Source organism: Homo sapiens, chromosome 7, assembly GCF_000001405.40.
Source record: "Homo sapiens chromosome 7, GRCh38.p14 Primary Assembly".
NCBI lineage: Eukaryota > Metazoa > Chordata > Mammalia > Primates > Hominidae > Homo > Homo sapiens.
Genome location: NC_000007.14, coordinates 43,106,296 through 43,127,517, shown reverse-complemented (window position 1 = coordinate 43,127,517; position 21,222 = coordinate 43,106,296). Strand labels below are relative to the sequence as shown.

At 43.3% G+C, this 21,222-nt stretch overlaps 1 protein-coding gene and 1 long non-coding RNA gene across 12 annotated transcripts in view, besides 2 other annotated features; both read right to left on the bottom strand.

Annotated features, from left to right (window-relative positions):
* HECW1-IT1 (HECW1 intronic transcript 1) overlaps positions 1-9,622 on the bottom strand; it is a 45,292-nt gene extending 35,670 nt beyond the window's left edge. The window contains exons 1-3 of the long non-coding RNA NR_135295.1: positions 8,943-9,622; positions 8,323-8,571; positions 5,499-5,715 (exon numbers count right to left, since the gene is read on the bottom strand). This is a non-coding gene — a long non-coding RNA (HECW1 intronic transcript 1). The remainder of the gene's footprint in view (positions 1-5,498; positions 5,716-8,322; positions 8,572-8,942) is intronic.
* HECW1 (HECT, C2 and WW domain containing E3 ubiquitin protein ligase 1) overlaps positions 1-14,871 on the bottom strand; it is a 453,355-nt gene extending 438,484 nt beyond the window's left edge. For 4 of the 11 annotated variants that reach the window (NM_001287059.2, XM_006715670.4, XM_006715671.4 and 1 more), the window contains exon 1: positions 14,581-14,871. Coding sequence is in view for 8 of the 11 variants with exons in the window: in XM_006715670.4 (XP_006715733.1) it covers positions 14,581-14,610 (30 nt within the window). In the remaining 3 variants the exon portion in view is untranslated. Of the gene's footprint in view, positions 1-13,126; positions 13,515-14,580 lie in introns of those variants that run through there. The other 7 variants (XM_017011882.2, XM_017011887.2, XM_017011884.2 and 4 more) reach the window with 3 other exon arrangements.
* Positions 8,036-9,235: an enhancer, noted in NCBI's record as "BRD4-independent group 4 enhancer chr7:43157882-43159081 (GRCh37/hg19 assembly coordinates)". NCBI's record gives its function as "activates an origin of replication core promoter dependent on BRD2, P300/CBP, MED14 and CDK7 cofactors, and independent of BRD4, by STARR-seq in HCT116 cells {active_cell/tissue: HCT116}" and the evidence as "EXISTENCE:reporter gene assay evidence [ECO:0000049][PMID:35650434]".
* Positions 19,117-19,631: an enhancer, noted in NCBI's record as "OCT4-NANOG-H3K27ac hESC enhancer chr7:43147486-43148000 (GRCh37/hg19 assembly coordinates)". NCBI's record gives its function as "activates a minimal SCP1, AML or CMV promoter by ChIP-STARR-seq in primed H9 embryonic stem cells {active_cell/tissue: H9 hESC(primed)}" and the evidence as "EXISTENCE:reporter gene assay evidence [ECO:0000049][PMID:30033119]".

Sequence of the window (21,222 nt, the reverse complement as noted above, 5' to 3'; positions counted from 1 at the left end):
GAGTTTCACTCTTGTTGCCCAGGCTGGAGTGCAGTGGTGCAATCTCGGCTTACCGCAACCTCTGCCTCCCAGGTTCAAGCGATTCTCCTGTTTCAGCCTCCCAAGTAGCTGGGATTACAGGCATGCGCCACCACACCTGGCTAATTTTGTATTTTTAGTAGAGATGGGGTTTCTCCTTGTTGGTCAGGCTGGCCTCAAACCCCTGACCTCAGGTGATCTATCCGCCTCGGCCTCCCAAAGTGCTGGGATTACAGGCATGAGCTACCTTGCCCGGCCAGCTGTTTGTTTTCTTATCATTCAGGAGTTCATTGGAGTAGCACTTTTAATTTCCTCCAAGAACTTTTCCTTTGTATTAACAACTTGGCTAACTGTTTGGTGCAAGAGGCTTAGCTTTTGACTTGTCTCGGCTTTTGACATGCCGTCCTCACTAAGCTTGATCATTTCTAGCTTTTGATATCAAGTGAGAGACATGAGACTCTCCCTTCCACTTGAACACTTAAAGGCTGTTGTAAAGTTATTTATTGGCCTAATTTCCATATTGTTGTGTCTCAGGGAATAGGGTGGCCCGAGGCAAGGAAGAAGGATGAGGGCATGGCCAATGGGTGGAAGAGTCAGAACACACACCACAGTTATTGATTGAGTTCGCCATGTTATATGTGTGCAGTTCATGATGTCCCAAAGCAATTACATTAGTAACATCAAAGATCACTGATCAGAGATCACCATAACAGATATCATAATAAAGAAGCTTAAAATATTATAAGAATTACCAAAATGTGACACAAGGAAACTAAGTGAGCACATGCTGTTGGAAAAAATGGCACCGATAGACTTGCTGGACTCAGGGTTGCCCAAATCTTCAATTTGTAAGAAAAATGCAGTATCTATGGAAGTGCAATAAAGTGAAATGCAATAAAACAAGGTATACCTGTATACTTGTTTTCATATAAATCAGCAGTTAGGTCAATTTTTTCTTAAAGGGCTAGTTAGTAAACATTTAAGGTTTTGTGGGTCTAATGGTCTCTGTCTTAACTAGTCAGCTCTGCCATTATAGCATGGCAGTAGCTTTAAGCACAATGTAAATGACTGGCATGACTGTGTTCTAATAAAACCTTATCTATGAAAACAGAAGGCCAGCCAATTCAGCTTGCAGACCCTTGCTTTAGACAATGATATATATGTGTTATATTTTAAAAATAACATTTCTAAGGTGTTGTAGCAAAAATCAAGTAAAGAGAGGAATTTTTCTAGTGGTGGGGAAGAGATATAGATGATGAAGAAGGTTTGCACAATGCTTTATGGACAAGAGAAAATAGAACAATTATAAAAGGGAAGGAGCAATCCCTAAGAATCCAAGGAGACTCAAGCTGGTAGGGTTTCATTTAAATAGGAAAGTGATCCTCGTCAGTACAGTGGTGAGTAAAAACCAAAAAAAAAAAAAAAAAAAAAAGTGAGAACAAACTCATATACACGCACGCCTTGCATTTACATGGATTTTGTCCCCCAAAGCTTTTGGACCATTTCCCATGGCATGTTAAGGCAGTTGGAGGTTTTCAGGATGACTACAAAGCCAGGTTAGAAAGCAAGGTCTCCTTGAGCTTAGACTGAGGAAGTTATGAGTTCACTTCTCCAGGATGGGACAGGACCAGCCTCCATCCAGCAGAGACCTTTCCAGCATCCCTTACAAAAGGCCGCTTGGCTCCATTCAGTGGCAACTTTCGTATTAATGCCTCACTCTTTTTTTTTTTTTTTTTTTTTTTAAGACAGAATCTCGCTCTGTCACCCAGGCTGGAGTGCAGTGGCACGATCTCGGCTCACTGCAACCTCTGCCTCCCAGATTCAAGCAATTCTCCTGCCTTAGCCTCCCAAGTAGCTGGGATTACAGCCATGTGACACCATGCCCGGCTAATTTTTTTTGTATTTTTAGTACAGACGAGGTTTCACCATATTGGCCAGGCTGGTCTCGAACTCCTGACCTTGTGATCCACCCACCTTGACCTCCCAAAATGCTGGGATTACAGGCGTGAGCCACCACACCCGACCAATGCCTCACTCTTCTTGAATAAGTCTGAGTAATAGAAAATATATATTGTTATTGAATCAAAATCTTCTACCCGCTACTTTTCATTCTGGACTCAGAGCAAGTCAGGAGGTGCCAAGCCCCTCTGCCACATTCAGATTTTAGTTATTCGAAGCCATGATCATGGTCTTTTTCCATTCATAGAAATCCTCTGTTAGAGACTGAATGTTTGCACCCCTCAAATTCGCATGTTGGAATCCTAACTCCCAGTGTGATGATACTTGGAGGAGGAGCCTTTGAAGGTAATAGGTCATGAGGCTGGAGCCCTCATGAATGGCATTAGTTCCCTTATAAAAGAGGCCCCAGAATGCTCCCTAGCCCTCTTTCCACCAAGCGAGGGTGCAAGGAGTCAGCAGCCTGCAACCCAGAAGGGGGCTCTTACAGAACCCGACCACACTGGGTTGGATTTCCAGCCTCCACAACTGTAAGAAATAAATTTCTGTTGTTTATAAGTCACTCAGTCTATGGTATTTGGTATAACACCCCAAACTAAGGCATCTTGAAAACACAGTTTTCCTACAGCAGAGGTTGCAAATTGGAGACTTACAGTTATACTTGGTTTGGCCCACTGAGTATTGTAAAATCATTAAGTTGAGTGAGAAAAAAAATCTTAAAATTATAAAATTTATCTTAAAAACACAATCTTTTGGTTTGCTTAGAAAAATGTGAAGAACTAGCAATACTGTTAATAATTGGCTTGAAGATAAGGCACAACCAGGGTAAGCTCCTGGCTACTCCCAGTCCCCTATCCCAGCACTGACTTTGCACCTCGATCGTTGATGCCACCAGCCTGCACCCTGAGGACAGCCCCTGAAAAGAGCTAGCAAAAAGTGCTGCAGAGCATGAGGCCCCAAGCTCAGAGACAGGTTCCTCTTTCAGGTTTAACAAATATAAGTTCTGTGGTCCTGGGAGATGTGTGCTCACAACGTGTTTCACTGTGTGGAAAATGAGTGGGTTGAATGGGACCATGGCTTAGGTTCCTTATCCAGACAGCATTCTATGAATCTACAAATGGCTTAGCTAATTTTCAAATCTCACTGAGCTCATTGCCTGAAAATTGCCTGAAGTCATGAGTTCCACCTGCTAATAGCACTTTGAAAAAACAGATTTGAAAAATAAAATATCTGGATCCCTCAAAAGCTATTTGCGAATTTATACCAACATGTGCTAAATGTAAAAGCAAAGCCGTTCACTCTCTTTTGCCTCTAAAATGAAATTTCAAAGGCAGGAGTTCTAACAGTGAAGAAAAAAATATCTACCACAAAGTTTCATGTTTCTATAAAAATAGTGCGTCGATTACATCGTTTAGTAGACACAAATGAACACTTGAAAAAGGACGGAGTCAGGAGCACAGAATGAAGGTTTTCTATCTTAGAGCTTGATGCTTCCCTTCAGTTCCTACCCACCCCCAATCACTCCCACACCTGTAGATACAATTTGGGTTTAGATTTGTTTTCTCTCTCTTGCCATAATCTCTCAACTTTCTCTATATAGCTTAAATGGTTCATTAAACACTTTCTCCAAGAAACTAAAACACATTCTAGAATAAGACAATATGTGCCGTTTAACTGAGAGCAGGACACAGACTTCTGGAGAGGAGGGCCTGGTCTTCCAGCCTCCACTCCCAGCCCACAGCCCACCCGGTTGGAAGGGCTATGGTACCACTATTCCACAGCATCAGGCAGGCAAGAGGGCTGGGGCTCATGTCCAGTGTGGTCTGGAAACATCTGCCACCCTGGCCTCATCCACCTGCTAATTATGTGCACCAAGCCAGATCATTCACTCTGCCTGGGTCCTGACCAGGCAAAAACCACAGAAACTTGACTTTCAGGCCAAATCTGAACCTCAGAATGGGCAAAGACTGCAGATGGGCAAGGACACAGCTTTTCATTAAAGTCCATATGCAATATTTAGACAGAAAGTGCTCCCTGCTCCAGAAGACTCTCTGGATCCCCTGGAAAAAGGCAACTTATGTCAAAGCGCAGGGTCACAGGAGAGCATGTTCCTACAGCAGTGGTCTCTCGGCAAGCAGACCTAGTGCCTTGGCCCTAAGGGACCCAAGGTCAACGGCAGGTACACTCAGTTTTGGTAAAATTAAGTTTAAGCCAAGAATGTCACGATGATTTCTAAGCTCCTGACAAGGGCAATGTTCTGTTTAATGACCGAACTGTGAGTAGCTCCTCCGGAAGCAATATTGTAAAATTGAGGAGCTCACTCTGTAAAGACAAGAAATGTGCTGTGGATTCATTCATCGTGGTAATGGCCCCCAGCCCAGCGTCTGGTACAAAATAGATGCTCCATGAATAGTGCAAAAAATAAAATAATCACCCTTAAAGGCTACAACTTTTTCATTTTGCCTTCTCAAATTAGATGTTTCTGCATGGGAGGGATTTAATTCTGCTTTGTCTTTGGACATTTTCACCTTTAACCATAAGCAGATTTTTGTCTAGATGGAAAAATCTCACACACAAAAGAACCGAAATGCTTTTCACATAATAGCTCAAGAAATGTTTTCGGAATAAATAAGCAACGGAAAATGATTTGAAAATAACCAGAATTTTAAAAATTATATGCATGTGTTTATATATGTTATGTGTATGTAGTTTTATACATATTTGTGTATAGATATATAGGACTTATTTTTAGATTTGTGATTTAGTAGTCCCTTGGTCAAATTTCTCTTTAGAATCTCGAAGCTTAACATTTATTATACATATAGTGATATTTTTTTCCTTTCCTGGGAGAAAGGAGAAAATAACAATTTGTGAATTTCCGCTATTTTTCTCAAGGATGTCACACCATGATCTGAATGTATGTTTCTAAGAAAGATAAATTTTACTTTATTGCGACAACAGGATGGATAGTGCTTGCAAAGTTCTTATGAGAGAGGTCTCATCAAAAAGTTTGCTACTTGCTGTTAAAAGTTGTTTCTAAAGCAGGAGAGGAGCACTGCCAATAAACCCCCCTTTCTGGGTCTCTGAGTCCTTTGAAATTCTGCAATTTCTACTCTTGCTTCTTTCAGATGACCTAAAAATTAGACCTTGCCTAAAGAAGGAAGCTCCTCAGATATTGGTAAGAAAGTAACACTAGTGAGCATCACCTGGAAAGAGTTACTGGGACAATTCTCGCTCCGGTCTGACACTATTCATGGCAGGGGTGGAGATCAGGAGAAAGACAGGATTCACGCTGCAGAAAACTGGGCTCTACTTCTGACCTTGTGAACCTGGGAAAGCTCTGCAGTCCTCGGCTTTGCTCATTTATAGAACAAGGGTATTAGAAATTTAAGATGCCAGCTATGTACTTCATTCATTCTTCAAATGGTTACTGAGTGAAGAGCACTGTTCTTTGTCCTTGAAGAATCAACAAACAAATAAAAATCTGTCCTTGTGGAGTGCACCTCTTCTAACTTTCTACTTACCTTTGGGGTACGCATTTTGTGGACACAACATGGCGTATAGCATTCTAGAAGCAACGAAATGCAGACCTTCTCAACTCTTAGGTTGTTCCTTGAGCTCATTTCACATTCGGAGAAAGAAGTACCTGCTGAGGCAGATACTGAGGCAAGTAGTTTCAGGAATACTAAGAGAAGTGTGACAAGCCCTTAACCTAGAGGAGCTCAGCATTTAGTAGGGAGGCTGAAAGACAGGAGAGTGAAGAATAAGCAAATAATGATACTCATTCCAGGAGAATTCTGTAGGGAGATAAATCATATCCTATTAGGAAACTGAGTGATGGACTCTGCTAGGAGGTAAGGTTTAAGTTAGATCTTAAAAATGGTTACATTTACAGAGGGATGGGGAGTCTAAGAGCAGAAAATAGCATCATTTATTATACATATAGTGATATATAAAATATCACTATATGTATAATATAGTGATTTTACATATCACTATATGTTTACATATCACTGTATGTTTACACAACTACGGAAAAGCACAGAGCATGTTGGGAGAAATGGGAAAATGATTTGCTTGGCTGCCACAGAGGGTCAAAAGAGTGCATGGGGATATGAGCTGGCCAAGGCCTACAGCCCGACGATGCCAGCCTAGGGAATTGTGCGTACTTTGGCCACTCCTGAGAGCTTTGAACACAGGACTGACAGGCTCACATTCAAGATGACAAAGTCAGTGTGGCCCAGAGGAAGCAAAGAACAGTTTTTATCAAGTCCTGGCAGCAACAATAACAACAACTAAGTGATTCAACTCAACAATAATTGAGTTGCCGGGTCTACTTGCTGGGTGCTGAGGAAGCAAAGACAAGCTCAAGCTAGCCACTCTCTTTAACTGTTAGAGAACACCAGCCAGGAGAAAAACACGGAAGTTCAGGACCAACAAAATGTCCAGGCAGGAAGGAAGAACCCCAGCCACCTCCTTGTAGGGGAGGGAAAAATAGTGCATGGAAAAGGGAAGATATATGCTCAGAGGATCCTGAGACCTGAAAATATCATCTAAACTCTAATCCAGCAGCTTTTAGGGGGGTTTTATCTGCCCAGGCGTGGTGGCTCACACCTGTAATCCCAGCACTTTGGGATTACAGATCACTCAGATTTGCAGATCACTCGAGGCCAGGAGTTCCAGACCAGCCTGGCCAACATGGTGAAAACCCATCTCTGCACAAAATACAAAAATCAGCCGGGTGTGGTGGTGTGCACCTGTAGTCCCAGCTACTCAGGAGGCTGAGGCAGAAAAATCACTTGAGCCTGGGAGGCGGAGGTTGTAGTGAGCCAAGATCATGCCACTGCACTCAAGCCTCGGTTACAGAGTGAAACCCTGTCTCAAAAAATAAAACAAATAAATAAATAAATAGAGGGGATTTATCCAATATAATGTGGACATAGAGAAAGTTCTGAGGTTGGATTTCAGTTAAGGAAAGCACCTGTTACATCATTCGGTCAGTCAGCAAACATTCAGTGTGGTGTCTAATATGTTCCAGACACTTTTCCAGGCACTGGGTAAACAAATAGGTTCCTGCTCTAATGGAGATTACAAGTTAGAAGGGGAGACAGAGAATAGCACATAAGCAGAAACTATGTAACAAATTGCGTGGTGCTAAGTGGTATGAAGAAAAAGCAAGCAAACAAGCAGATGGAAGAGAGCACATTGTGTGTGGTCAGAATAAGCCTTTCTGAGGGTGTGATATCTGATAAAGGGGGTCAGGATGCAGGTGGCTGGGGGACCGTCCCTCCAGGTCAAGGGAACAGTATTTGTACCTGGCACGTTCTAGGAAGAGCAAGGACAACTGGGGACTCGGAGAGTGGCAAGGCAAGCCCTGTAGGCAAAGTAAGGAGTTTGGGTTTCATCCTGAACAGGGCTATGGTCAAAGAAGTAACACAATGTCCACTCCAGGAGGACAAGGACTTGTGACTGTTTTGCACTGTGATCCTGCTACATCCCAGCACCTAAACCAATGCCTGGCACACAGCAGATGTCTAGGCAGTATTTGTTGAATGAATGAATGAATGAGAAGACTTCCACTTTTAAAGGCTCGTTTGGGCTGCTGTATAGGGAACAGACTGCAGATGGGCAAGGACTACAGAAAACCAGTTAGGAAAGCTTACTAGCGCTTAGACGGGGATGGCTGTGCTGGATGGAGAGGGAGAGAGAAGGGACAGAGATTTATTGAAAGCTGGATCTGGGTGAGAAAAAAGTCAGAGGGACTCACAGGTATTTGACCTGAACAACTGAAAGGACAGAGTTGTCCCTGAGAGAGATGGAGGACACCAGAAGAGAAGCACGTTTAGGGAGCAAAAATCGGGGGTTGTATTTTGCACATGTTAATTTTAAGCTAACGTGCCATTCAAAGGGAGATGCTGGGCGGTTGCATTTTCAAGTCTGGAGTTCTGGGAATGAGTCAGGGCTGACGAAATAAACTTGGAATCATGAGCATGAAGACAGTGTTGAGAGAAGGAATTTAAGTAAGAAGGGAAGAAGTCTGAGAGCCAAGGCCTGGGGAATCCCCGTACCCGCATTTAAAGGTCAAAATTCAGTTGAGATCAATCGGGATAAAAACTCAGGGGCCATCCAAAGAGCCTGAGAGAGAAGAGCCAGAGAGGCTGCGGGAACACCAGGAGAATCTGGTGTCCTGGAAGAAGCCAGGTGCTTAAGAAAAGAGTGGTCCCCCACAGCCCCATGGGAAATGCTGCTCAGATCAGCAAAGCTGTGCCCTTGTACTTCACCAGGTAGAGATCATTGGTGACCCTAATGACAACAGGGAGGGGAGTGACAGGAACGAGTGACTGATACCTGATCGAGGTGCTCTCAAGACAGGCAAAAGGTGAGAGGTGGCAGAAACACAAAAGTAGCTTCAAATAAGATGGTGATCTTCTGGTCTCAGGCTGCATGGTGGGTGTGTGTCATATTTTGCTTCATATATTTCATATATGTTCAATGTGCTGTTTGTCAAAATCAAATATGTCACAATAAAATATGTCTTTAGAGGCTGAGATGGAGGGAGTGAAGAAGGCCAGTGGGACAACCTTTTTGAAGCATATTCTTTAAAAAGAAACAGAAAATCCATCATGGGGGATGTGGAGTCAGGGAGCGGTTTTATAAATGTCATACATCACAGTACCATTTGTATGCCAATTATTTCCTTATCATCATCCTCTTTATATGCAGGTCCTATGCCCGGTCATGTAGAGGGGACACCAAGGACAATGCTGGGGGTAGGCAGGGGGAAATAAAGCTGGCAACAATCCTCAAAACGATTTTTTTTTCCAATTTCAAAAAGCTCATTTCTACAAAAATAATTTATATTCAAAATAGAGGGAAAACGTCATTAAGTAGTTTTAAGTTTTGATGGCACAAGGAATTATGAATAACGGTAAAGAAAAAAAGAAGTCCTTTTGAGGATAAAAACTTACTGACTGCGTCCTGTGGTTTCTTCAGCTCATCTGTGTGTTACAGGAAAGAGGATGAGGAATCACTTGCTGATTGATTTCATCAGCTCTGGTACTGACGGCACTGATGGCAAGGTCTTATATGTTTAATTTTATTCTCCCCATCTTTTCCCCCCTTAACCTAGATCTCTGAATTTTAACAATGTGTAGGGCTGAGATTTATGTTTCTCCAACTGCTCTGACTTGAACCCCCAAAGCAAAAGCAAAAGCAGGGAACATCCATGCACGTTAAATGGATGTCAATTTCAGGACAAAATGATTGAATTACAATCCCTGGCCATGGATGTGAATTTTGATCTTTTTTTTTTCTTTCACACACATGATATTTCCCTGACATCTGTGCAATACAAATATATCTAGAAAGTGTGAAATGGAAAATCTGCTTCACTAAATATATAAAAGGGACCCCGAATGAAGTCTCCATGATGGCATTTGTCATCATGGGCACAGATGGCGTCCTTTCCCAACTCTTCCCCCGCCCCCCTGGTACCGGCTTAAGTTCCATCCACCAAATTCTCCCTGCATATCACATGCATAGATGCCTGATAACACCAGGAGAGCCTGTCTGTATGCCACATCCTTATTTTTCAGGCCTCCATATGCATCAAGCTTCAGACCAATAAATCAGGAAAAGTATCAGTTCTGAACAAATAATGCAAACAGTGTATACCACTTGTTGCTATGGGAATCCAGATGACCTAGGAGCTTAGTGATCTTTGTCATATGTTGCCAGTAAGTAATTGCATTATTATCATTCTCCTTTCAGTGCCCATGTCACAGAACAGTACAACTACTTACCAATACCCACACATCCAAACACTGTGGGATGGGATACATAAAATTGCTAATATGCTGCTTTGCTTCCTAAAATATTTAAAGAGGCTTTAAGACACCTAAATGCATGGCATTGAGGTTCCAAATGGTGGTCAGAAAGTCTGTGAGAAAAAGACGTAAACGATAAACAATATCGTTAAAAGATTCGACCTGCTTCTATATCTCATTGTGTCTTAACTTGGAAAAGCAATGGTAATGAATAAACCTCAGAAAGTAGAAAAGATTGAGCTGAGTAAGGAGGTTGTGAAGCTCTGACTCCTGCCTTTGGTGGGGCGGGTGGGGGGTGGCAGTGTACTACTGGCATATGGCTTATGTATGTGGGGGATGTTATAGGAAGTTGAGTGGAGCTAAAGAAGTGGAAAAAAAGAGCAAAATGAGGAACCAGAGAGAAACTGAAAGGGGAATTTGTTGGATGAATTGCAGGGAACACTTTGACCATAAGAGTTATTCAGCTGTGAAACATACTCAGTGGTGAGAATAAAAATGCTTGGAACCTTGGCTATTAAACCCCCAAATTCTAAACACTTTGTACATTTTGGAGATTGCATACTTTTTCCACCACTGCATTCCTCACTGGGAACAAGAAATGCCACAAATCTTTCCCCTTAATATAGTAAATTTAGTTTTACAAATAAGAAAGGATTATAGAAATGTATAAAGAATAGTTTTAACAGAAGGCTCAAAGTAGTTATCAGATAACCACAGGCTGCACCATGTAGCCTTAATTATTTCTTCTCTACATATTGCCAAATTAAATTATTTCTAATCTTTTTCTCCTTTCAACTTGCTCAACTGAATAAACCAACAAAAATAATCACAGAATGGTGATGTTAGAAGTGACCTTTGGGATTACTTGATTCAACTTTCTACTCTTAAAGAAGAAGAAACTAACCCTCAAAGAGGAAAAGTGACCTGAAGAAAACCCCACAGAGCATTTCATACTGTTTTCTCTAAAAGTCCGTGAACATCAAATGTGCCAACGGCTGTTTTACAGAGAGGACATGTGGGTATTGCAACTTCCTGGTTTCCTAATGTAGCTTGTCCTGTTTTTTAGGATGGAAAAGGAAGCAGGTAAATGGGAGAGAAGCAGGTGTCTTGATGTCTGTAAGTCACACCTGTTAGTCTAGAAACCTGCCATTGGGAGACTCAGTCAAGCTTGGCTGGCCCAGGAAGGATGGTTGTCTCTGGTCTAACTGTAGGTCATTTCAGAAGCACTTACAGTGGTTCAATGTTGCTTGAGCAAATAATGAGTAGACATTCCCTAGACGTGTCCATCATCCTAGCAAGCTCTGGTTGATAGAACCAGGACTTAGAGAGAAAGTGGGCAGAAGGGTGCTCACGTCTTCTGTTTAAGTGTGGATTAGAGGTTAAAGTGCTTGGGCCATGTTTCCTTCTAAGGCCAGAGCAAGACAGAACAGAGCAGTTATCAGATAAATTTTGTCAAAATGGATAATCCAGATCATTCAAGGAAAAAAATAAATAACCAAAACCTACAGCATTTGAACTCATTCTCTACGTGTTTTTTTGTTTACTGAGGGTGGGTGGTGGAAGGCCTGGATTTGAGTCCTGGCTCTCGGTTCCCCCTTAAGCATCTTACATAACCTCTCTGATTCCCCCAGCTGACTCACAAAGTGAAGGATTCCTACCTACCTCCTGCCTATACAATTAGAGGGCATTTTTATGACCTGAAATCCACTCAATAAACATTTCTGAGAACACATGATGTACCAGGCAAACTGCTAGGTGCTGGAGAGATGAATATAAACATGTCCTTGTTCTGAAGAAGCTCATCCCATATTTAAGATAAGGAGACTGTGGCACATTTACAACTCAGATAACTGCAATATTGTAAGTGCTATCTTAGCTCTATGAACAAAAAGGCTATGGGAAAACAGGAGAAGAAGTGGTTAATTATGCCTTGCAGGGACTGTAATTTCAGGATATTATTTTGATTGTAACTTAAAACAAATGAGTGCACAACTACGGAAAATTGTGTGGCTAAGCATGAATCAACAAATACCTTGACTATACCTAAATTATAAAAATTACCATAGCGCATGAAAACACTGCCTGCCTGCCTATTTAGACCAATCATTGCTTCACCCATTTTTGTGACAAGCAACAGCGCTAGCAAGTTTTGAGAGCAACACCAAATTACATCAGAGAAAGTAAGTCTCATGCCATTGTCAATTACTGCATAGGATGAAACAGCTATCTAGAGTGTCTCATTAGAAACAAACAAAAACCAATGATTGGAAAAAGTGAATTCTCAATTATCTAAGATGGGGTTGGAATGAATAACTCCACAAAAGGAGAACACCTGTTATCCAATTAATTCAATCTTCTTCTCTTTTCCCCAACCCTCCACCAAATGTTTTGCTATAGTGGACAAAAAAAAAAAAAAAAGACCTGTTTGAGTTGGTGAGTAATTTCACTTATGGGGAAAATGCAGACGCTTGGGTTTTAAAAGCTGCAAGGTATAAAAATAAGCCGCAGATTCTACAGTCAATCCTTGGTTTGCTTGCATGGTTCACGTTATAATTATTTGCCTTTCCAACACTGGGTAACTTTTCTTACTCCTCTGTCAGTTACCACAGAATGCTGGAACTAGAAAGAACGATAGAAACCAGCCAGTCCAACTTCCTTTACCATGAGGAATGAGACTCAGGCTTGTCTTTCCATATCACATCTGGCCTTTTAATATTTCTTTTGTTAACAATCATATCAGATGGAAGCATAATAGAAGGTAAAGCTCAAAGTGATCTTGTAATACATCCATCTTTAAAAGCCAGAGTGTAAAAGGAATCAAGTCAAATGATGCTATATACACAAATAACAGAGCTGCAGTCCCTCTGTATTGATACATTGATGGGCTGTTCCAGCTCCGGATGTGACCTCCCTATCAAGTCAATAATGTCACAATCTAAACAAACTTAGGCAATTTGCCTTCATGAAAAAACTACTCCAAAAAAAAAGAGAACTGTCATTCCACAAAGCAGCCAACTGCACTAGACTGGGATTATAGTGTGGAATTAGTCAGAACGTGGATTATTAAATAAAACACTAGAACGGCCAATTTGCCTGGAGGTCTAGGAATTAAAATAGTGCTTTGTTTTTCCAATGCCACATTCCAGAGGAAGCAGCAAGCGGAGGGAACAGGCAACAGGGAATTCTACCAACAGGGAATTCTACCACAATCTATCTCTCTACCAAACAGGCACACACATTCATACCAGGGTGGGCATGTGGACTCTAATCCCTTCTTAGTGGAAAACACACATTTTTAAATGAATCCCCAATCTAGAATGAATTACCGTAATAGCCACAGCCGGAGTGAGTCTGCTGATGAGAAACGCAGATCTGGCCACCTGCTTTGAGACGCCTTGGACCACAACACTGCCGGGGTCTTTAACGGTTGGCCTTTTCGGGTAGGGCATCTGCCCTCCTAAATCGCGTTTAAATCCCAGGAAAAGAGAGAAGATGCCTCCCTCAATTTTTGAACTATGCTGCTCTTGCTGTATCCGTTTCTGCTGAACATAGCATTGATATCTTTTCAAAGAGAAGGGGGGAAAACAAGGGGAGAATTGCACCACTGCAGATTCCAAGAGAAGTAAGCACAAAACTACAGCAACGTCAAATAATATCTTCTTCGGCAACTAGGAAAATCCCCACATGCTCTCTGGTGTCAGCCCAATGCAGACTGAGGCGCGCTGTGCCCGGAACCACAGGAAGCCGGGCATCTCTGCAGCCTGTGTCCCTGCCAGCTCCCCCTACGCGCTGAAATTCGGCAGGGAAGAAGTTATGGTGCCCAGCCTCTGTGTGCAAGACAGAGACACCGCGCATCATGGCTCTGAAAATCAGCCAAGTGGCCGGGACGTCAAAGCGGCAGAGCAATCAGAATGCCCTGGAGCCGGGGATGGAGGGGCCACATTGTTTGAGCCCTCGGATTTTGCTGCATTGTCACCGCCCGGGAACGTGGGGGTAGCAGGAAGCGCACCTCCAGCCAAAAATGGACCGGACGCATTCCCCCCCCCTCCCCGCCCCGGCAGCTCCCTCCCTGCCTGTCTGCAAGTCGCAATACGGTAGGCGACATGACTGCTCCCGCTAAAACTCAGGTGGCAGGCCCGGCTGAGCGGCGCAGCCGGCCGGTAACAGGGAGGCGCTGGGGGAGCACCCACACAGCGCCTCCTCCCCTCCTGCACCCGTCCATGGGAGCAAGGGCCGGACCTGGCCACGCGCCCCTCGAGCGAGCACCGGCGAGCCCGTGCGGAGGCTCTGGGCGCTCTCTGGGCTAACCACGGGCATTGCATGGGACACAATTGTTCAAAAGCGAGCCCAAGGCGAAGCGCAAATCCAGAGCTTTGGTTCACAAGGGGTGGGTGTGGGCTGGGAAGGGGGATTACGTAGGTCTCTCCGCCCCCTCCCCTGACACCTCCTCGCCACTGGGAGGGCGCTGAGGGGCGGGGGAGGCGCTGCGAACCCGCTTGGGGGCTTCTTTGTTTCTCTCCGTACCCCGCAGGAGGGCCGGGTGCGCCTGCAGTACCCAAGCCGGGGTCGCCACCCGGGGATGCCGGCCCGGACCGGGCGGCGGCGCGACCCAGGCTGACAATTGAACCTCGCGGGAGAAGCGAGAGGGTGGGGAGGAGGGTGGATCTCGGCCCCGAGAAGGGAGGGCGCTGCCGGGGCCTCGCGTGCGGCGGGGAAGCCGCCCAGAGAAGGGCGGGGGGGAAGGGGCGGCAGACAGTGTCCCCGCGCTACGCCCGCTTACCTTGGCAGCCCTGGCCTGGGCACAGATCATGCTCCTGTCAGCGCGCAGATTAGAGCTGGGGGGCGCACGTGCCCCGCATAGTGCACCGGGCGCCTGGGACTGGCTGGGGAGGGGACCCTGGCGACCGCCCGCTCTCGCTGCGCTCTGGCTGCCGGGTGCCCCGAGAGAGCGGAGGCCACGGCCACTGTCACGGCGGAGGGGCGCGCGCGGCTCGGCGAGTGTGTGCGCGAGGAGGGGGCCGGTTCGGTCAGAGTCGCACGGTGTTCCGGCTCCAACAACAGCGCCTGATGCGCGGTAACGCAGCACACTTCATCGCTTTATCCTCCCGCTTGCATCCCCTCCCTCCCTGCCTGCTCCTCTGTGGGTACCAGACTCCAGAACCAACCACAAGCCGGGCTTGCTCTCATTAGCGCTGCCCCGCCCTGCAGCCTCCGCGCACCCCCACCCCCGCCCCCGCGGTAAATATATATCGATTCTTGTTACCGCCGGCCCCATCCTTCCAACACCCAGCACGCGTACTGGGCATATCCAACACCAACCCTGGCTCCTCGGCCCTTTTGTGTGTGTGCAAACAGTGTAGCAGAAAGGATGCGGTACAGACACTCTAGGCGGGTACCCTGTGACAGGTGTTCTTGGCCTCTGTCTTAGACACTTTCCTCGCTTACCTTACACACAGTTAAGAACGCTCAGAGACACATTTCAGGAACCGTCCTGTATTTGCACAAGCACACAAAACATCGTAATGACAAATGCAAAGGATGAAAATCACCCCAGAATATCTATTGTTGGGCAAACCTAGCTCCCAAACCGCGTTTTCTATTACACTGCACACAGTGTCAGAATGCTAGAACGAGAAGGAGGCAAAGTCTAGACCCTTCCAGGTACAGCCAACTGAGATGCAAAGAGAAGTGAAATGCTGGTTACTATTGGTGGTTGGCTGCTCCATGTATGCACATTTTTGTGCATCTGGTCGACATTTGGTTTGTGTGTGTTCACATAAAATGCAGAGGCTTTGAGCACATAATCTCTATAGCCTGGGATTTTATGATCCAACCACATTCTCTACAATGCTGATTTATTCCTTCCCATTATTTTGCCCAGCATCCTCTACATGAGCTTTTTTTCACTTTCTGAGAAGTTATCTTCTTTCCCAGACCCCAAACTCCGCCTCCTCTAGAATAAACAAAGGCTTCACCCTGACTTCAGAACTCCTTACTGAAGACCTGAGTACGGACTTGTCAAAACCAAATCTCCTTCCCCTTCCACCCACAGTGGCTAGTTTCTCAGTGCCTCTCATTCCACTGACCTGCCTCTTGGCATTGATTTCACTCTTACAACTGGAACTTTCCAGAACTGGAAACTTTGGACGATGTGAAGGCAGCTTCACCAGCTGTGCTCTTTTCTGCAAGGAGGCACAGCCCTTCTCTTTCCGTATTCCACTTGGGGTGCCCAGTCCTTTCCTGACAGACCCTTTTCTTTGCCTGACAGCAGTCAGATCTTCTGGTCAGATGAGCTCAAAGCAGACCATTTTCAAACCTTAGCTAAGAATCCACACAGAAAGCTGTGCACACATTTCTCCGGATTTTACACTTGGATTAGTACCAACTCCTATATGAAGAAAACTCTCCGAGAATAGACTTGAACAGGCTGTGGCAGTAAACAGCAACAGCAACCAACCATGTGATGTTTCCAACCAGAGACTTGAAAGAAAACAAAAACTTTCACATAAACCAGCATCCATGGTTTCTAAATTAGCACAATGTCACCAAACCACAATAAAGGATAATTTTTTTACCTCAACTAATTGCCAGGATGTTCACCTCATTATTTTCAGTGAATCAGCATCAACTTGGCTCAGAGATGTTTGCTCTCTGTTCTATCCATCATGGAGATGACTTGACAAGTCCACATCTCTCATAGAGGTTATTGATGTAGCAATCCTTGTGGTGTGCTTTATCCTCCCCTGAGGAGTTGCTTTTTTTATACTGAAGACAAAAGATATTAAAATAGCAGTACACAAAGTTTCACATCCTGAGTAGATAAAGAAGCCTTGTAGAGCAGCTTCTACATGTCAGGTGCAATGGCAGCATATACAGACTCCTGTGTATTGTCCCCTTTTATTTTTATTATTTTTATTTTTTGTGAGGGGTCTCACTCCAATGCCCAGGGTGGAGTATAGTGGTGCAATCTCCATTCACTGCAACCTCCGCCTCCCAGGCTCAAGCAACTCTCCCCCCTCAGCCTCCCGAGTACCTGGGAGTACAGGTGTGTGCCACCATGCCTGGCTAATTTGTTTTTTGTATTTTTAGTGGAGATGGGGTTTTGCCAAGTTGCCCAGGCTGGTCTTGAACTCCTGAGCTCAAGCAATCCTCCTGCCTCAGCCCCCCAAAGTGCTAGGATTACAGACGTGAACCACCATGCCTGGCCTGTTTTGTTTGTTATTCCTAACAGTCCCCCTGTAGTCTGGGTAGCATGATCCTATTTTACAGAAGAAAGCAAAAAGGCTATGTTAGTTCTGTAATTTCCTTAAGTCTTGTTTCAAGCAGAAGACCTTGAATCTGGAGTTTACAGATGTCAGCTGCCCTAACCTTAAAGAGAAGAGTATTTGGTGGAGAAAGGAAAAGACATGGCATGAATCTTAAAGCCATCCTAGTAGTCATATTTATTAAGTTTCTAATGTACTCAAAATACTGTTATAAATAATAAGTCACAGTCCCAGTGCGTCCCTCCTAATACTAACCTTATATAATGGCGTAAAGTGAATGTTGAAGGTTTTGAGATGCATATACAAACACCTGTATTATCATAATGCCCATGCAACCGAATCTTCCACCTTTTGTAACTCGAGGCCCAGGAGGACCCAGGGAGGGGGTGACATGCCTGCTCACCTGCTCATCTCAGGCCACATGCAGATAAAGATTAGCAAACAGAGCACCATTCACAAATGGTCCCTACAATGCTGAGAAAACGATAACTTGAACCAATCCGGGGCTTTATCTTTGGGGATAGGCCTTCAACATAATGTCGGAAGTGAACGCACTATAACTAGGGGAGGAAAAAGACCGAGCTGTTGAAGCTATCTCACATAGTCTCTGCACAGGAGCAAATTGTAGCCAATAATACAAGATTGTCATTTGGACTTTCCTAATGACTAATGATGGTGAGCATCTACTTTTGTGCTTCTCTTCCATCCGTCTATCATTTGTAGTAAAGTGCTCAAAATTTTTGCTCATTTTTAAGTGGGTTGTTTGCTTTTATATTGTTCATTTTTGAGAGTTCTTTCTGTATTCTAGATACAATGTCTTTGTCAGATAAGTTTTCTGAATATTTCCTCCCCATGTGTGGCTTGTCTTTTCATTCTCTTAGTAGTTTCTGTCACAGAGTAAATGTCTTTAAAGTTGATGGAGTTCAATGTATCAACTTTTTCTTTCAGAGATCATGCTTTTGGTATATCTAAGAACTCTTTTGACTAACCAAGGTTACAAAGAGTTGTGTTTTGCTGATAAGTTTCAAGATTTTACATTTTACACTTAAGTATTTGGTTCATTTTGAATTCTTATTATTTTTTAGGTGTGAGCTATGGATGGTGACTTTTTTATTTGTTGGCTTGTTTTTGCACATGGGATGTCCAATTCTTCTAGCACCACTTATTGAAAAGATCCTTTCTTGATTGAATCGCTTTCGCAACTTTTCAATAATCGCTTGGTTAGATTTGTAGGGGTCTCTTTCTATATTCTCTGTTTTGTGCCTCTGATCTGTCTTTCTATTGTTTTACAAATAGTACACTATTTTGTAGATGTATACTGCCTTAAAATCAGGTAGTGTGAACCCTCCAATTCTGTCCTTTTTAAACATTATTTTGGCTATTTTCATTTCTTTGCCTTTTTATATGAATTTAGAAATGGTTGTCAATATCTACAAAAAAATTCCCACTGGGATTTTGATTGCAGTTGTGTTAAATTTATAGATGAATATCAGAAGAACTGACATTTTAACAATCTTCCAATTTCTGAATACCTTTCAACCCACAAACTTAGCATTTCTCTGCATTTGTTTAGGTTTCCTTTGATTTATTTCATCAGTAGTTGAAGTTTTCAGTATGCAAATTCTACACAGATTCTAAGAGTTTCCATGTAGATTCTAAGAGTTTCATTTTTTTGGTACTATTGTAAAAGGTATTGATTTTAATTTTGAATTTCACTTTGTATTAAAGTGTACCTGGGATTTGTTTTAATTAAGTATGCACATGCAGACATACAGACATGGAAATGCTTCTCATGAAGGGAGAAGTTTATACTCACAGAACCCTAGAAACAGGAGGCATGGCATACCGCGCAGGGCCACAGGGGGAGCTCCTGGGTCAATCAGGAGGCAGAAGCCTGGGAGAGCATGGCTCAGAGCCTCTATTTTGTATGCTGTGGTACGGAATGGCCAGGCAGGGCAGGCCAGTTTGAGCAAGTCTAGGATTTGATAGTTCCAATAATTTCAGTGGCTGTGGGCTACAGAGGTAGTCTCTAGTTGTCCTGTACTTGTCCCTGGGGAGACTTAGGGCAAGGGAAATTGGTTTGCTATGTGAGTTGGACAAAGGAGGTGGTTGTGGGCATGGACTCTGGATTGGTTGGTTTACATATGAATGGTGGGCTCTCAGACAAGTTGTTTGCCATCTCTAGGAATTAGCTAGCCCTGGGAGGGGCAGTTTCTTCCAAGCCTGCAAAGTCCCTAAGATGTCAAGGCACCACAAAATATGGAAAATAAAAAAACATAAAAACTCATTCACTGGTAGAATAGAAAAAAAATAATTAGTGTGTGTGTGTGTGTGTGTGTGTATTTTTTACGTATCCTGTGACCTTGCTGAACTCATTTATTCATTCTAGTAGCTTTTGTATAGATTTCTTGGAATTTTCAATGTAGATAATTATGTTGTCTGTGAATAGAGGATGTTTTATTCTTGCTTTCCAATCTGTATGCCTGTTGTTTCTTTTTTCTACCTTCTTTCACCAGCTATGCTTTCTATTTATTGCACGTATTTTTTATTTTATTAATTAAAAAATTTATTAATGAGCTTTTACTTTATGATAGGCAGTGTAAATATCAATCACACTAAACTTGTGGTCAAGTTAAACATGTAAGTACAATATGATACAGGTGCTGAGAGAGGGACATGTTATCAGTGTGAGAGGAGCAACCACTCTAATATGGCTAGGGAGGCTAGAAACGCCTCTATTAATAGAGCTTTGAATGAAGAACAGAAGTTTGTTGGGTGACCAAAAGACATCCGAAGAAGAAAGAAAAGCATACATGAAAAAGCAGAAGACAGAAAGAACAGAATGTACTTGGGAATGTACTTGGTGAAGAGTTCAATTTGACTGGAGCAAAGAGAGTGGTGTCAGAGAGAAGACTGGAAGCAAAGGTTTGAGACATACGTGATAGGCCAAACATGCCCTGCTCCAGCTGTTAGAATTCATTTGGCAAGTAATGGAGAACCCTAAAGATTTTTAAAGCCAGGAACGGAAACAACGAGATTTGTCATTTAAATATATAGCAAAAGCCATGTGTGGTGGCATGTACCTGTAGTTCTAGCTACTTGAGAGGCTGAGGTAGAAGGATCACTTGAGCCCAGGAGTTCAAGTCCAGCCTGGGCAACATCATGAGACCTTGTCTCTATTTTTTTTTAATTAAACATAAATAAATGAAAAACATATTGTGAAGCAAAATATACAGTGTATAAATTTTACAAATTATTATTTGTAATACTTTTAGATTATTAATATATGTTGATCAAAAATTAAAATTAAAAATTCAAAAAAGAGAGAGATGTTGATAACAAGTGTCAGATGAGGATGGCAGCTGGCTAATTTGCCCTCACCCACCTTTCCATCAAAATACTTATTAAAAAGCACGAGACTAAGAAAAGTGACACACAAGTATGAACTATGAATGCTTATCAACAATTTATCATATGCCAGAAAGTTTCTCACTAACCTAATCAAAGTGTGTTTAGGCATTAAAACACAGCCAGACCAAAAAAAAGAAAGAAATTAGAAACAAATGCCTTTAGAAAGGTGAAGCCTTCATTTAGGAACAGCAATAGAGGGTGATAATAAGAGTACAGACACAAGGCAAATCACCTGGGTTTGAAACTTCGATCAATTATTTACTTCTTTGTACTCTTCTGCAATTTATTTAAATTCAATTTCCTCATCTATAAAACTACTTATGAATATTTTTACCTTAAAAATTGTTGGCTGGGCGCAGTGGCTCACACCTGTAATCCCAGCACTTTGGGAGGCTGAGGCGGGCAGATCACGAGGTCAGGAGATCAAGACCATCCTGGCTAACACGGTGAAACCCCGTCTCTACTAAAAAATACAAAAAATTAGCTGGGCATGGTGGCAGGCGCCTGTAGTCCCAGCTACTGGGGAGGCTGAGGCAGGAGAATAGCGTGAACCCAGGAGGCAGAACTTGCAGTGAGCTGAGATCGTGCCACTGCACTCCGGCCTGGGCGACAGAACAAGACTCCATCTCAAAAAAAAAAAAAAAATTGTTGAGAGTCAAGTGAGATAACAAATGTAAAGTTTATAACGTTGTGATTAATACGTGGTAGCCTTCAGTATTCCTTAGCTCATTCCATCAGTAATGTTC